This window comes from Homo sapiens, chromosome 18 (assembly GCF_000001405.40).
Source record: "Homo sapiens chromosome 18, GRCh38.p14 Primary Assembly".
Lineage (NCBI taxonomy): Eukaryota > Metazoa > Chordata > Mammalia > Primates > Hominidae > Homo > Homo sapiens.
This window is the reverse complement of record NC_000018.10, coordinates 3,035,380-3,052,296: the sequence shown is the minus strand read 5'-3', so window position 1 is coordinate 3,052,296 and position 16,917 is coordinate 3,035,380. Positions and strand designations below refer to the sequence as shown.

At 43.8% G+C, this 16,917-nt stretch overlaps 2 annotated features.

The window, feature by feature from the left end:
• Nucleotides 273-773: an enhancer, noted in NCBI's record as "H3K4me1 hESC enhancer chr18:3051522-3052022 (GRCh37/hg19 assembly coordinates)". NCBI's record gives its function as "activates a minimal SCP1, AML or CMV promoter by ChIP-STARR-seq in primed H9 embryonic stem cells {active_cell/tissue: H9 hESC(primed)}" and the evidence as "EXISTENCE:reporter gene assay evidence [ECO:0000049][PMID:30033119]".
• Nucleotides 13,012-13,306: a silencer, noted in NCBI's record as "tiled region #4192; K562 Repressive DNase matched - State 5:Enh". NCBI's record gives its function as "represses a minimal TATA promoter and a strong SV40 promoter by Sharpr-MPRA in K562 cells {active_cell/tissue: K562}" and the evidence as "EXISTENCE:reporter gene assay evidence [ECO:0000049][PMID:27701403]".

The following is a 16,917-nucleotide window of genomic DNA, read 5'->3' as shown; positions in this document are numbered from 1 at the left end:
GAAATCTATGTTTCACATTAGTGGCACCATTGTGCAATTATCTGCAACATTCATTTGCACAAGTGTGGTTATGCTGAAGGACGGGGCTGTGTCAGGTAGGTAAACAAATGGAGAGAGAACAAAGGAACAAAGTCGGGGTGGTTTTTTTTTTTTTTTTGATACAGAGTCTTGCCCTGTCACCCAGGCTGGAGTGCAGTGGCAGGATCTTGGCTCATTGCAACCTCCACCTCCGGGGTTCAAGCAATTCTTGTGCCTCAACCTCCCAAGTAGCTGGACTACAGGCACACGTCACCAAAACCAGCTAATCTTTGTATTTTTTTAGAAGACATGGGGTTTCGCCTGTTGGCCAGGCTGGTCTTAAACTCCTGATCTCAAGTGATCTGCCCACCTCGGCCTCCCGAAGTGCTGGGATTATAGGTATGAGTCACTGTGTCTGGCCAAGGGTGGTTCTCAAGGAAGTGATTATAGTGTTGGACCTTGGAGTCTAAGGCTGGGTAAGAAGAATCAGAAGAACATTTGATAAATGATGCTCAATAAACTGGTAGTCCCGATGAGAGAGGAATATTTGGAATTTAAGCTTTTGGGTAAGCAGGCCAGAGGATATTATGGTCAGACAGTGGAATGCTTAAGTTTGAGATTTCAAAGACTATTTTCCCCACTAACCTCTCTTTATTAGTAGGCAGAGTAGTTAATAATCCATGAAATGAGATTCCAGAAATAGAAAAAAAAGGTGCATTGTCCTCACCTCACCCAAAATATATATCCCCTTATTTCCTCTCAGTGGGCTGAAATTGCATAATAAGAAAGCCATTCGCCCTTCATCAAGTTACTTCCTATGACTTATGCCAACAGGGCACTGCATCTACTCCTTCTGCTAGCGAGTATGAATAAAGCCCCTCTCGGCCCAAAGTCTCATGCGATCAAGTCACCCATGCACAGCACTGGGCAGGACCGATGCTGCTCCCAACTTCACGCAGTGAGCATCTTCCCTGCTTCACGTTTCTGTGAGAATTAATTTATCAGATTACTTCCAGAGAATGAGTTTTTATGTGATAAAGAGAAGAGAAGGCACCTGTAATCCCAGCACCTGGGGAGGTCAAGTCGGGAGGACTGCTTGACCCCAGGAGTTCAAGAGACCAGCACTGACAACAAAACAAGACCTTATCTCTACAAAAAATTTTAAAATTAGCTGGGCATGTTGGCATGCACCTGTGGCCCCAGCTACCCTGGAGGCTGAGGCAGGAGGATCACTTGAGCCCCGGATTTTTTTTTTTTTTTGACAGAAACAGATCTTATAGCTTTATAAGATTCTTCATTTGCCAGTTTGCAGATAATCTCTCCCTGTTTAGACTACCAGTTCCTTGATTACTTATTTCATTGCCCTAAACAGTTGTTTAGCTAGGTAACCCTAAATTGCAAACATTACTCTTAGGTGAAAATTGATACCCCCAGAGGCATAGAACGTATATCTATATACCATTATTTGCTGAAACAAAAAGAATCAGTCAAGATAAGATTGCCAGGAAAAGTATCTTTAAACATAGGTAAGGTTTGTTACGTAAACTTTAAGCCAGTGTCTTTCCCATTGTAAAGATTTCTAGCTGCTTTGGTATAGGGGGATGTCCTTACAAATGGAGATTTCCTTTATAGAAGTAAATTTATTTTACATAGAGTTTCAAAGTAGCCCGCTAAGTGCTAGAAAGTTGTATTTTGGAGACTAATCTTGTTAGATACTTAGTTCGTTTCTTGATTACATTACTGACTTCAAAGTGGAGCCCTTTCATGAATGGGACCAGGAAAGTATTTGCAGTTTCCAGGGCCTAATACATATATATTTTAAAAATTTCTTTCTTTCTCTCTCTTTTTTTAAATTTTTTTAGTATTTATTGATCATTCTTGGGTGTTTCTCGGAGAGGGGGATTTGGCAGGGTCATGGGACAATAGTGGAGGGAAGGTCAGCAGATAAACATGTGAACAAAGGTCTCTGGTTTTCCTAGGCAGAGGACCCTGCGGCCTTCCGCAGTGTTTGTGTCCCTGGGTACTTGAGATTAGGGAGTGGTGATGACTCTTAACCAGCATGCTGCCTTCAAGCATCTGTTTAACAAAGCACATCTTGCACCGCCCTTAATCCATTTAACCCTGAGTGGACACAGCACATGTTTCAGAGAGCAGGGGGTTGGGGGTAAGGCTATAGATTAACAGCATCCCAAGGCAGAAGAATTTTTCTTAGTACAGAACAAAATGGAGTCTCCTATGTCTACTTCTTTCTACACAGACACAGTAACAATCTGATCTCTCTTTCTTTTCCCCACATTTCCCCCTTTTCTATTCGACAAAACCACCATCGTCATCATGGCCCGTTCTCAATGAGCTGTTGGGTACACCTCCCAGACGGGGTGGTGGCCGGGCAGAGGGGCTCCTCACTTCCCAGACGGGGTGGCCAGGCAGAGGCGCCCCCCACCTCCCGGACAGGGTGGCTGGCCGGGCAGGGGATGCCCCCCACCTCCAGGAGAGCCCCGGATTTTGAGGTTATAGTGAGCTATGATCGCATCACTGCACTCCATCCTGGGCAACAGAGCTAAATCCTGTCTGTTAAAAATAAGTAAATAATACAAAATAAAGAGCAGAGAAGGTTTGGGCCTTCACAATTTGCTTTGTGCTGGCATTGTTTTTCTAAAGGTAGAGCAAAACTGCAAGTTTTATAAAAGGGACTAAAAAGCAGAAATATGTAACAAAAATCTTAAAATTATATATCCTTAGACACAGAAATTCTGCATTAAATAATTTTACCATAAGAAAATAGATAATGGACTAAGATGTTTGAATAAGAATGTTCACCACAATATTATTTACACATCAAATCACACTCAAAGCATTTCAACGCTAAAGAATGAGACCTCATCTCTATTTTTTAAAAAGTTAATCCTAAAAAATAGGAGATTTAAAAAAAAACAAAAAACCTGTGGTAATCCACAGAGGAAATGCTATGTAGCTGACAAAATGTTAATTGATATATTGCTTAACTGGTAAAGAAAGTTTATTTTCTTTTCTTCAACTTAAAATCACACAAATGGGCCAGGCACAGTGGCTCATGCCTGCAATCCCAGAACTTTGGGAGGCCAGAGAGGGAGGATCACTGAGGCCGAGAATTTGAGACCAGCCTGGCCAATATAGCAAAACCCTGTCTCTACTAAAAATACAAAAAATTAGCCAGGCATGGTGTTGCACACCTGTAATCTCGGCTACTCGGGAGGCTAAGGAAGGAGAATCACTTGAACCTAGGAGGTAGAGGTTGTGGTGAGCAGAGATTGCATCACTGCACTCCAGCCTGGGCAATAGAGCAAGACTCTGTCTCAAAACATTAAAAAAAAAAAACAAAACACATAAATAAATGTGGAGGAAGAAAGATGAAAGGGGCATAAATCAAATTGTTATGGCTGTAGGGTGAGATTATGTGGGATTTTTAGTTTATTTTGGGATTTTTTTGTGCTTTACTGTTTTTGTGGAAAAGCCAACTAAATGTAAGTGTATTTAATCATGAAGAAAAACATCCAATTTGATTTTATTCTCTAGCTGTACAAAATGTATTCATCAACCAGCCTCAAAATTCTGCCATAAGACTTAATTAACTCTAACAAATAAAGCTTTTCATGGGCAATACTTATTCTAATAGCATCCATCACAAAAAAAAACAGTTGATTCAAACTAAATTACTTGAAAATATAAAAGAAATTCTTGCCAGAAAATAATGATGCCCATGAACAGACAAGAAGGTACAGCATTCTTTTTCTAATATATATTTTTTTCTGATAACAAAATTATCCTACTTTGGAAAATGTAGTTAGTGCAGTAGCTTGAGCCTGGAGACCGGCAGTATTGTAAGGCAAAAACAGTTCTGGCATCTTCCTGGAGTCTGACTGGGAGCATCGCTGGAGGAAATGATGGGGAGTAATTGCAGAGACTGCCATCTGTCTCTGCATGCAGAGAAGTCGCAGACGGCCCTGGGATGTGCTGCCTTCTAGCCCACTTCCTATGCTTCTACTTTAGACTCCAAACAGAGCAAGAGGGACGGGAGGGAGAGGACGGAGGGCAATGAATCCAAAGATGGAAAAGCAGAGAAGATTTAAAAAGGAAAGACAGAGGGGCAGAAGAGAGAGACCCATGTCACTTGTTCTTTGGAATGAAAGAGGACGGGTGATACATTTATTATTCAATAAGACAATCATATATTCATTCATTCTCTCAACAAACACAAACCAGGCTCCCACAATAGCCCAGACCCTAGGTTATGACAGGAAAGAAAACCATCTTTCCATCCAGGTGAACACAATAGACCAGTCTTCTAGATGTACTTTTTTTAAAGACAGAGACTCAGTTTGTTGCCCAGGCTGCAGTGCAGTGGCACCACGATGGCTCATTGTAGCCTTCAACTCCGGAACTCAAGCAATGCTCCTACCTCAGCCTCCGAATAGCTGGGACTACAGGTAAGCATCACCCAGCTGCCTACTGTTTAAATGTTTTGGGTTGAGCACGGTGGCTCATGCCTGTAATCTCAACACTTTGGGAGGCCAAGGCAGGAGGATCACTGGAAGACAGGAGTTTGAGACCAGCCTGGGCAACAAAGCAAGACCCCGTCTATATAAAAATAAATTAATTGGGCTGAGCGCGGTGGCTCATGCCTATAATCTCAGCACTTTGGGAGGCCGAGATGGGCGGATCACCTCAGGTCGGGAGTTCAAGACCAGCCTGATCAACATGGAGAAACCCCGTCTCTACTAAAAATACAAAATTATCTGGGTGTGGTGGCGCATGCCTGTAATCCCAGCTACTCAGGAGGCTGAGGCAGGAGAATCGCTTGAACCAGGGAGGCGAAGGTTGCGGTGAGCTGAGATTGCGCCATTGCACTCCAGCCTGGGCAACAAGAGCAAAACTTCGTCTCAAAATAAATAAATAAATACTAAAAATAAATAAATTAATTAATTAAAATAATTTTTTTGTAGAGATGGGGTCTTTCCATGTTGCCAGGGTGGATCTTGAACTTCTGGGTTCAAGCGAGCTTCCCATCTCAACCTCCCAAAGTGCTGGGATTGCAGACGTGAGTAGAATATATTTTTTGTTATTCCTCTACACAAAACTTTGTGACCTTGGCTCACGAACATGCTTAATAAACTTGGCTCATGATTTTCCAGCCCCTGGAATCACTTTTTCCTCCATGTTGCCTAGCCAAATTCTGATTATTCTCTGCTGCTTATCTGTTCCACAGAGTCATCTTTAACTATTTCTTCTAAGCCATGTGGGTATTTCATTGAACTCCAATTTCATTAATAATGAGCACTAGACTTACATGTTAGAATAACATTATTCTTTATTTGTGGGCATTTTCTATTCAGTTTGTAAGGTAGGTCTTGTGGGTTCCTCACACTAATACAACAAGAATAACAAACATCTATTTAGCATCTCTATGAACTATAAACTAGGTAACATGTATAGGGTGAAATCATGAATGAAACATGGACCCCACACATGAGAAGCTCAATTGTCTCAATGGAGCAAAATAAGCATGTTACCCATACGTTTTGCTTGGCAGTATCTGGAGGCTGTGTGGGTATCACTTAATCACCTGAGAGAACACACAGTCTTAGTGGTAACCCAGCTTAAACACACCCTATGTCTAGAGAGGACAGAAATGAGTCTTAATTTTCACATCCAACCCCCCTGCCACTCACACAGATCACACAGAACTCTTTCCATTCAGATGCTTACTATAAGTTCCATCGACTTCTGGTCTCCCTCCCACTTTTCTTCCTTTATGTTTCCAGGGGCCTTTTCTGCCCCTCTGCCCTCCTCCTGCAGACACCAGGCATTGTCCCGGGCCCTCCTGCACCAGAGCAGCTGTGGGCCCCTGGTGGGCCTAGGCCTCACACATTCTTCAGACTGGACAGTCTATGAGACAAACAAACCTTCCTCCTGCTAATCTTGAGACCATCCCTGTAGTCTGTGATCAAGGTAGAAAGGGAGGGCCCAGGACCTGAAACATCCTGTACTGATGCAGATCCACAACAAAATACAGTCGTGTGCTGCATAATGACCTTTTGGTCAACAATGGACCACATATATGACAGCAGTCCCGTAAAATTATAATAGCGTATTTTTTACTGTATCTTTTTGTTGTTGTTGTTGTTAATTGAGACTGAGTCTCACTCTGTCACCCAGGCTGGAGTTTAGTGGTGCAATCTTGGCTCACTGCACCCTCTGCCTCCTGGGTTCAAGCAATTCTCCTGCCTCAGCCTCCCGAGTAGCTGGGATTACAGGCACGCACCACCACGCCCGGCTAATTTTTGTGTTTTTAGTAGAGACAGGGTTTCACCATGTTGGCCACGCTGGTCTTGAGCTCCTGACCTCAAAAGATCCGTCCGCCTAGGCTTTACAAAGTGCTGGGATTACAAGCATGAGCCACCATGCCCAGACTTACTGTACTTTTTCTATGCCTAGATATGTTTCAATACACACTTACCTCATTATATCTTCCAACTCCCTGTCACATAGGAGCTTCTCGGTAAGTATTTTATTATACACTAATGAGCTGAGTATAAGATGCAAAACACGAAGAAAGTGCCTACTGAGTAACCCAGACAGACGCAGGACAAAGACAGGGCATCTCTGGCCCAGGCAGTCAGGTCAGTTGAGGGAATGCTATGCACAGAAACTTCCTCTTGGCTTGTTGCCCGCAGTGGGGCTGTTAGCCTTTCTGCCCTTTATTTGCTTACTTTATTAGATTTTTTAAACTTGTTTTTGCATCTAGCACAGTGTCTTGCACAGGGTAAACACTCAATGCACACTCACAGAACTTAATGCAAACCGTGCCGTGATTGGTATTTGGGGGCGTTTTTGTTTGCTTGATTGTTGATGAATGGTGAGCGTAAAGCCTGCTGCATATAGGAATTGCTGCTTTTGCTGCTTTTGTTTCCTGCCACCCTCCCTTGATTTCACTATGCAATCTATCTTGTTCATTTTACAACTACCTGCGCAGCCTCAGTACAGTCCCCTGCAAGCCTCCATTCCTTCCACCCTCAGCTGGCCTTGAGATAAGCACCCCTAAGAGTATTCAGCATGGGGGCTGCCCAGCCTAATCTGGCATGGCATTTCCCACCGTGTCCTCACAGATGGATCCCCTGCCTACTCCGGGCACCCTCTCAGGGTGCTCAGTGCAGCTTTCCTACGTCTTGGCTACATTCCACCAGATACAGTTCTTGCTCAGACGATCTTGAGTAAATACTTCTCCCTGCTGAATCCAAATCTGGGCCATCTGTGGGTGGCCCATCTGCACAGTTTACCCTTTTCAGCAAGCAGAAACTAGACCAGACTTGTTGCTTATCCTCAAACCATTTAAATCTATAATTCTGGAATTCACTGACTATTTTCCCACAATGAAGTCTTTCTAAGAGGCTAGTTTGGGGGCATGAGAAAATCTAGGGGAAGTTACTAGAGCTATGGCAGCCGTGTAAGGGAAGGCAGGACAGAAGCCATTGCCTCTGCGATATAGATATACAGTCGTCCCTCCATATCCACAGGGAATTGTTTCCAAGACTGCCCCAAAGATACCAAAATCTACAGATGGTCAAGTCCCTTATATAAAAGGGCATAGTATTTTCAGATAACCTATGCACATCCTTCCGTATATATTATTTATTGATTGATTTAATTAATTTATTTTTGAGACAGAGTCTTACTCTGTTGTCCAGGCTGGAGTGCAGTGGCTCGATCTTGGCTCACTGCAACCTCCGCCTCCCAGTTTCAAGTGACTCTCCTGCCACAGCCTCCCAAGTAGCTGGGATTACAGGTGTGCAACACCACACCCAGCGAATTTTTGTATTTTTAGTAGAGATGGGGTTTCACCATGTTGGCCAAGCTGATCTCAAACTCCTGACCTCAGGTGATCCACCTGCCTCGGCCTCCCAAATTGCTGGGATTACAGGCGTGAGCCGTGCTTCTGTATATTTTAAATCCTCTCTAGATTACTTATAATTCCTTATGCAATGTAAATGCTGTGTAAATTGTTGTTATATTATATTGTTGAAGGAATAATGACAAGAAAAAAGCCTGTACCTTTTCGGTACGGATGCAACTATCCATATTTTTTTCTGCATATTTTCAATCCGAGGTTGGTTGAATCCTCCGATGTGGAACCCACAGATATGGAGGGTTGACTGTATTTAAAAACTCTCCAAGAAGGGTGAATAGTGCCATAACTTCTTTTTATTTCCTAAGAATGCCAGCTCTTGCCAATGACGAAAATAAGCATAGAAAATAATGTATAGAGTAGACATGAGGCAGGACCAAAAATCTGAACCCACAGCTCCCAACTGTTAACAGAAGGTCACCTATAGGATTTCTCACATCAGATTATATCTTTTCATTTTTTCTGAGACAGTGTCTTTCTCTGTTGCCCAGGCTAAAGTGCAATGGAGAAAACATGGCTCACTGCAGCCTTGACCTCCTGGGCTCAAATGATTCTCCCACCTCAGCCTCCCAAGTAGCTGGGACTACAGGAATGTAGGCCCACACCAGCTAATTTTTAAAATTTTTTTATAGAGACAGGGATCCCACTATGTTGCCCAGGCTGGTCTTGAACTCCTGGGCCCAAGTGATCCTCCCACATTGGCCTCCCAAAGGGCTAGGGTTTCAGGTATGAGCCACCGCACCCAGCCTCAGATTATATTTTGTTAAATATTTCAATGAAGGTGGAGCAGTATTGACGTTATTAAGCTGAACCTATTCAAAATGAACCTTGCTACGCACAATCAAAGGTTATCTTGTGCTAAAAGCATGACTAATTAAAGGCCACTTGGGGAAAAATAAATAGGTGCTTTGTGTGTAACTTTTGCTCCGCTGGTAACTCTGCTATCACCTTTCCCCAGTAGATCAGCAAGCAAGTTAAGCACAGTCCAGCGGCAGAATCCTGGGGTTAGGCAGATTGGCTTCACCTCCACCCCTTTCTCACTGTGGGAAAGTTAGACCCCCTCCCCACAAGTCCTCCTCTAAAGTGGGGATAAGGACACTACACTGTCTCCCACATGGAGATTTTGCCAGGATTAAAGGGGTTTATTCATTTTTAACAGTGCCTAGGAGAGCACGTGGCACATAGTAGGCCTTCAGGAAGGGGCTTTCCCCCTCCCTGTGCTTCCTGCCTCATTTTTCCAAGGGTAATTTTCCAAAGGGCAAAAAAACCATATTATCGAAATGAGAGGCCAGACGTAGTGGCTCACACGTGTAATCCCAGCACTTTGGGAGGCCGAGGCGGGCGGATCACAAGGTCAGGAGATCGAGACCATCCTGGCTAACACGGTGAAACCCCGTCTCTACTAAAAATACAAAAAAATTAGCCGGGCGTGGTGGTGGGCGCCTGTGGTCCCAGCTACTCGGGAGGCTGAGGCAGGAGAATGGTGTGAACCCGGGAGGCGGAGCTTGCAGTGAGCCGAGATCGCACCACTGCACTCCAGCCTGGGCGACAGAGCGAGACTCCATCTCAAAAAAAAAGAAATAAGAAAGGCCTCTGTTCCCCTCTGGAATACAGAAATCACTGCAGTATACAAAATCAGGAATTCCTATTTGTGGGATTTTCTTACTGGGGTTGCCTTACAAAATTTACTGAAACTATTTTGTGTATGAAATATGTTTCTAAGTACTTTCATGTGCGTCAAGTAATACGTCACCCCAGTGAGGCAGTTTGTGCTCAGGTTACTGACCTCATTTTATAGATAAGCAAACTAATGTTAAGGGAGGTGAAGTCAATCAAGCCATCAGGGTCAAGTGATATGTAAGGGAGGGAAGAATGAAACCAAGTCTCTCAACACTTCCACCATTGTTATTTTCTTTCCCACAGCCCAGGAGCCCACAGGTGGGAACCCACCTTTGTTCAATGAATCTGTGACCTGCTGCTAGAGTATTCAGAGAACACATGTCCTTGACTAGGTTGGCTGGTGGAAATGACAGCTGCTCCCCAAAAAACCTAAGGATTTCCTCTATTGTGCTGCCTTGGAAAAAGGAAATTCCCATTAGTCTCTTTCTCCTCAGAGTTTACTACTATGGCTGTAATCACTGTCATTTGAGCCGAGGGACAGATGAAAAGTGGGAGAGGATAAAACAGAAGATAAGAATCAGGACAAGAGGCTTGTTCTTGAGGAGGCTTTAATAGTTTCATCAAGACAGATGGCAGCTGTCTATAAAATATGTTTTTGGGTCTTACTTCCTCCTTCACTTTGCTTTGTTGTGACAACTGGAGTTAAGTTTTAGGCAAATAAACATATAAGATCATATTTTCACTCTGAGTATTGGGATAATTAAAGCAACGGGATGCCTCACTTTATGGAAGAAATTTTCTTTCTACAAAGCAGGTTTTACGCTGCTTTCCTGAGGTTTGACGGAGGTGGCGGGACAGCTGGGGAATGTTAGGATCCATTTCTCCCACAGAAACAGCTCCCAATATATGTAACTAATAAGTGAGCCCCAGAGCAGTTGGTCCAGCTTCATTCTTCTTGTTTGTACTCCACACTTTCCTTTTGTGCATTCTGCCTGGAGCCTACTCACCTGATACTGGTTCCTGGTTGATCAAATCTCCAGCCCCTCGGGTTCTGATACCTGTTCTAGATATGCCTCCCATGACAACCCACCCATCCCAAGAACGAGCCTCCTCAAGATGTTCATGTTTGTGCTGCATTTCCTCTGTGCCCTCCAAGCTGAGTGAGAGGATTACTAGTGTAAAATGCTAATCCCTTTGGAAAAACACATTTTATTTTAACAAAGGCCCTTAAAGCTCAGATCTGGGATCTATGTTTTAGAGGAGCAGGTTCTTTCAGAATTCCAGCTGTGCCGCCCCTGCAGAGACAAAGATGGCTGGCGAACAGTGGTGAGGACAATGCCACAATCGTCTCCTGACATAGAGGTCACCTCGGTCTGCCAGTTATCAAGAAAGAGCACCTTTTCTCCCCATCTAATCCACTTACTCATTTTAATAAAAATATGATTGTCAGGATTATTATTATTATTTTTGGAGACGGGGTCTCACTCTGTGGCCTAGGCTGGAGTGTGCAGTGGTGCGATATTGGCTGTCTGCAACCTCTGCCTCCTGCATTCAAGTGATTCTACTGCCCCAGCCTCCTGAGTAGCTGGGATTACGGGTATGTGCCATCACACCTGGCTAATTTTCGTATTTTTTTAGTAGACATTGCGGGGCGGTCTCACCATGTTGGCCAGGCTGGTCTGGAACTCCTGACCTCAAGTGGGCCACCCATCTCGGCCTCCCAAAATGTTGGGCTTACAGGCATGAGCCACCACGCCTGCCAATTATTATTATTATTGAGATGGGGTTTCACTCAGTTGCTTAGGCTGGAGTGCAGTGGCACAGTCATGGCTCATTACAGCCTCGACCTCCCAGGCTCAAGCAATCCTCCTGCCTCAGCCTCCCAAGTAGTTGAGACTACAGACGTTCACCACCACACCTGGCTAATTTTTAATTTTTTTGTAAAGACAGGGTCTACCTATATTGCTCAAGCTGGTCTCAAACTCCTGGGCTCAAGCGATCCTCCCACTTCAGCCTCCCAAAGTGCTGGGATTACAGGTACAAGCCACTGTGCCCAGCCAAAATTATTTTTTAAATGATACATTTAAAACATTTTGAATGATTTCATATTTCTATTCAAGAATCAGCTCATCAGTGATAATTTTCCAGACTATCCTACTTTTTTTTTTCTTTTTTTCAAATTTTACTGCAGGATTGTGTAGGTTTGTTATAGAGGTATATTTTGTGATGCTGCGGTTTGGAGTATAAATGACTCCATCACCCAAGTAGCTAGTATGGTACCCAATAGGTAGTTTTAAAGAAAGAGCATCTTTCCAAATGACTCAAACTAGAATCTCCAGGGGAAAATGCAATACATCATGAATGACTAAAATTCAATAAAGCAAGAACTGAGTAGCAAAGGCCTGGGGGGAAATTAAGTGAAAGATTAAGAGTAAGAAAAACATCTGTAATGACAAGCAATAAAAGGAGACTATACGGAAAGGTGCAGAAATAGAGTTTACAGACATGGAAGGAAACACCAGACAATGAATGTCAGGTAGAATTGAGAGCAAGAAGAAAAAATGAGATACTTCAGAATGGTTGCTTTCGGGTGTGATGAGCATAATTTGACTTGATTAGACTGTCTAGAGTTTCTGATTTACATAATGCAGGAATAAAAGCTCAGGAGTGATGTGGTTACTGTTTACCTTTGAAAAACCCTATGTTTTTTGTCTTCTTTTAAATTCAGATTGGGTGGATCCTTTCATGTTCATTTTTTAATGTCAGTTTGTTTCTTTATAGTATTGTGAGCTGTAAAAAACAGATGAGAAGGGCCGGGCGCAGTGGCTCACGCCTGTAATCCCAGCACTTTGGGAGGCTGAGGCAGGTGGATCACCTGAGGTCGGGAGTTCGAGACCAGCCTGACCTACATGGAGAAACCCCGTCTCTACTAAAAATAGAAAATTAGCCAGGGGTGGTGGCGCATGCCTGTAATCCCAGCTGTTAGGGAGGCTGAGGCAGGAGAATCACTTGAATCTGGGAGGTGGAGGTTGCAGTGAGCCGAGGTCACGCCATTGCACTCCAACCTGGGCAACAAGAGTGAAACTCCGTCTGAAAAAAAAAAAAAGGTGAGAAGCTGCATTTAAAAAAATGACTAAAAAAAATGACAAGACTACCCTCTCCCAAGAAATTAAACATCACCTTTATAATTGAAAGGGAAAGGACATTTTCCCTTTCCCTAAGTCCTTCTGAGGCCTAAAAAAGATACCTCTCTTGTGTTTTTTTTCAAGATTTCTTTTGGTTATACTGCATAATAGATATTAAATGTTTCCTAGTTCTGTATTCCTAATGATTGAGATAACGTTGTTTTTCTGGCTTAAACATGTGAATAGATCAGAACAGAAAACAATGTAAGGGAAAAACTAAATTTTTCAAAGGCATTATGCAAAGTTTCTCATGTGAGCTAATTAGGCTTGTATATTGTGGTGGCTGATGATACAGGCTCTGGGGCCTACTGGGGTCCAATTGCCATTCTGAGCTGCGTGGCCTTAAGCAAAGTAGTTGATCTCAAGGGCATTAGTTTTTCATCTGTAACATGGAGATAATAATAAACTCTAACACTTACAGTCGTTGGGAGGATTGAGTTAATATACATGTAAAGCACTTATTAAGCCTATGTGTTTGTTGTTATTATCCAGTGAATTACAGCCACACTCAGAGAAGCCACAGAGATTAGAGGTTAGGAAAATTTGAATACTTAGAAGAAATCTTTTGGGTAGCAGTATGATTTAATGTATGTTTAAATGCTCTTGGACGAGTGCAGTGGCTCACATCTGTAATCCCAGCACTTTGCGAGGCCAAGGCAAAAGGATCCCTTAAGCCCAGGAGTTTGAGACCAGCTTAGGCAACAAAGTGAGACCTCCATCTCTACAAAAAAATTAAAAATTAGCCAAGCATGGTGGCGTACGCCTGTAGTCCCAACTATTCAGGAGGCTGAGGCGGGCTGAGGTGGAGGATCGCTTGAGCCTGGGAGGTCAAGACTGCAGAGAGCCATTATCACCCCAGTGCACTCTAGCCTGGGTGACAGAGCGAGATCCTATCTCTCTTTTTTATTTTTTGACACGGAGTCTCGCTCTGTCGCCCAGGCTGGAGTGCGGTGACGCGATCTCGGCTCACTGCAAGCTCCGCCTCCCGGGTTCACGTCATTCTCCTGCGTCAGCCTCCCGAGCATCTGGGACTACAGGCGCCCGCCATGATGCCCGGCTAATTTTTTGTATTTTTAGCAGAGACGGGGTTTCACCCTGTTAGCCAGGATGGTCTCGATCTCCTGACCTCGTGATCCACCCGCCTCGGCCCCCCAAAGTGCTGGGATTACAGGCGTGAGCCCGCGCCCAGCCGAAGAGATCCTATCTCAAAAAATAAATAAATAAACAGGCGGGGCACACTGGCTCACGCCTGTAATCCCAGCACTTCAGGAGGCCGAGGCGGGCGGATCACCTGAGGTCAGGAGTTTGAGACCAGCCTGGCCAACATGGTGAAACCTCGTCTCTACTAAAAATACAAAAATTAGCCGAGTGTGGTGGCGGGTGCCCGTAATTCCAGCTGCTTGGGAGGCTGAGGCAGGAGAATCGCTTGAACTGAGGAGGCAGAGGTTGCAGTGAGGCGGGATCACTCCACTGTACTCCAGCCTGGACGACAGAATGATTCCATCTCAATAAATAAACGAACAAATCCTCTTTGCTATTGTGTAAAAAAATCAATTTCTTTTGTAAGTTACTTGCAAAAAGTCCAAACACGAAATGCTAAACAATATGGTTGTAAGAGACCATAAACATCTTAATCTGTAGTTGGAACTAACATATCTTTACCACCAAAGTCTAATAAAGAGCAACTTCCAAGAAGCAAAATGTTTGCCTCCACTTGATAACTTCTGCTTGGAGTTTTAGCCCTGCAGTGGGCATTTGTCCTTTCGCAGCTGCACAAAATCCAAATTCCTTTATTGTGTTAGAGGGAAGATCCTACTATATGAGTCCTGGGAGGGAAAGCCAAACAGCCCAGGCCTTATTGGTTTCTACCTTGTGCTATGTTTAGCCCCCTTCTAGGTACGCAATATATGTTGGCTGAAGTGAAAATGTAAACAGGAAGGAGAAAGGTTTCACAACGAGGAAAGGCTACACGGTGAGTCAGGGCTTTGTGCTCTGTTCCCAACTAGCTCCACTGTGACTAGCTATCTTTGGTCACAAAACTGGCTCAGTTAGTTGCTATTTTCTGCATCAGCATATTTCAAAAGGAAATGAACCTGCTGACTTAAGTGATGTAAGGAGTAATCAATGAATGAAAATTAACTAGAGATATCCATACAAAATTATATTTGTATTTTATACTAAAAGATAAAATATGCCTAACTCACAAATACTCATTATAAGTTTTTTGTTTGTTTGTTTGTTTGTTTGTTTGTTTTTTAGTTTGCTTTAGTTCAGCTCCTAGGAATTTCTATACCATATGTTATTATAAACATTAATTTACTTTATTCTTCATACAATTATAAAATAAAACAGGCCAGGCGTGGTAGCTCATGCCTGTAATCGCAGCACTTTGGGAGGCCGAGGCGGGCGGATCACGAGGTCAGGAGATCGAGACCATCCTGGCTAACACGGTGAAACCCCGTCCCTACTAAAAATACAAAAAATTAGCCTGGCGTGGTGGCGGGCACCTGTAGTCCCAGCTACTCGGAGGCAGGAGAATGGCATGAACCCGGAAGGCGGAGCTTGCAATGAGCCGAGATCGCACCACTGCACTCTATCTAGCCTGGGCGACAGAGCGAGACTCCGTCTCAAAAAAAAAAAAAAAAAAGAATTGTCACTGCTGTTTATTCACCTGCCTTGCCATTTTATGGCTTTTCCCAATGAAAGGAGACAGAAAAACATTTAATGAGAAGTACACACAGTTTGGGAGACATAGCATCTTTAGCAATCTTTACATATTAAATGCTGCACATGTGGGAGCGATAAGATGTAGATCACTTCCTGTAATACCGTTTCCATGTTCCTGAAAATCTGAACATAAAAGGAATTTTTGAAAGTGAAGCTTAATTCTTTTTGAAATCTGCCTTGAATCTTTTTATAAAACAAAGGAGCCTTCTGACATGTGAGCAATAAGCCACCAATTTATCCTGTTTTACCAGCATAGATTTTAGGCTAGAACTAAAACTTCATTGAGCTTTTAGAGGTTTGGTTAACGAATTAACAAATATTGGCTAGGCATGATGGTGCTCATACCTGTAATCCCAGCATTTAGGGAGGGCAAGGTGGGCAGATCACTTGAGTTCAGGAGTTTGAGACAAGCCTGGGCAACATGGTAAAACCCCATCTCTGCAAAAAATACGACAATTAGCCAGGTGTGGGACTACGTGCCTGTAGTCTCAGCTACTCCACAGGCTGAGGTGGGAGGATCCCTTGATCCCAGGAGGTAGAGGTTGCGGTGAGCCAACATTGCATCACTGTGCTCCAGGTTGGGTGACGGAGTGAGACTGTCTCAAGGAAAAAAAAAAAAAAGAATTTACAAATATTAATTGAGCATCTACTAAGTGTCAGGCACTATGCTATGTGCCCAGGTGCATTGGTGAACAAAACAGATAAGATCCTGCTCAAATGAAGTGTGCAGCCTTAAAGGCAAGACAAGCAACAAACAAACAAATAAATGAGATAATTACAAGAGAAAATAAGCAGGACGGTAAGATGGGAGAGTAGGCTGGGTGCAATGGCTCACACCTGTCATCCCAGCATTTTGGGAGGCTGAGGCAGTCTTATTGCTAGAGGCCAGGAGTCCAAAACCAGCCTGATAAACATGGCAAGACCCCGTCTCTACAAAAAAATTTAAAAATTAGCCATGCGTGACGGTGTGTACCTGTAGTCCCAGCTACTCGGGGGTTGAGGTGGGGATTGCTTGTGCCTAGGAGTTTGAGTCTTCAGTGAACTATGATTGCACCACAGCACTCCAGCCTGGGGAACAAAGGGAGACCTCATCTCTACAGAAAAATTTAAAAATAAAAGGAAATGGAGAATAGTGGAGAAAGCAGCCTTAGAAAAGATCACCAGGGGCTGGGCGCAGTGGCTCATGCCTGTAATCCCAGCACTTTGCGAGGCCGAAGCCAGTGGATCATGAGATCAGGAGTTTGAGACTATCTAACACGGTGAAAACCCCGCTCTACTAAAAATACAAAAAATTAGCCTGGCGCGGTGGCAGGTGCCTGTAGTCCCAGCTACTCTGGAGGCTGAGGCAGGAGAATCGCTTGAACCCCGGAGGCGGAGCTTGCAGTGAGTCGACATCGCGCCACTGCACTCCAGCCTGGGCGAGAG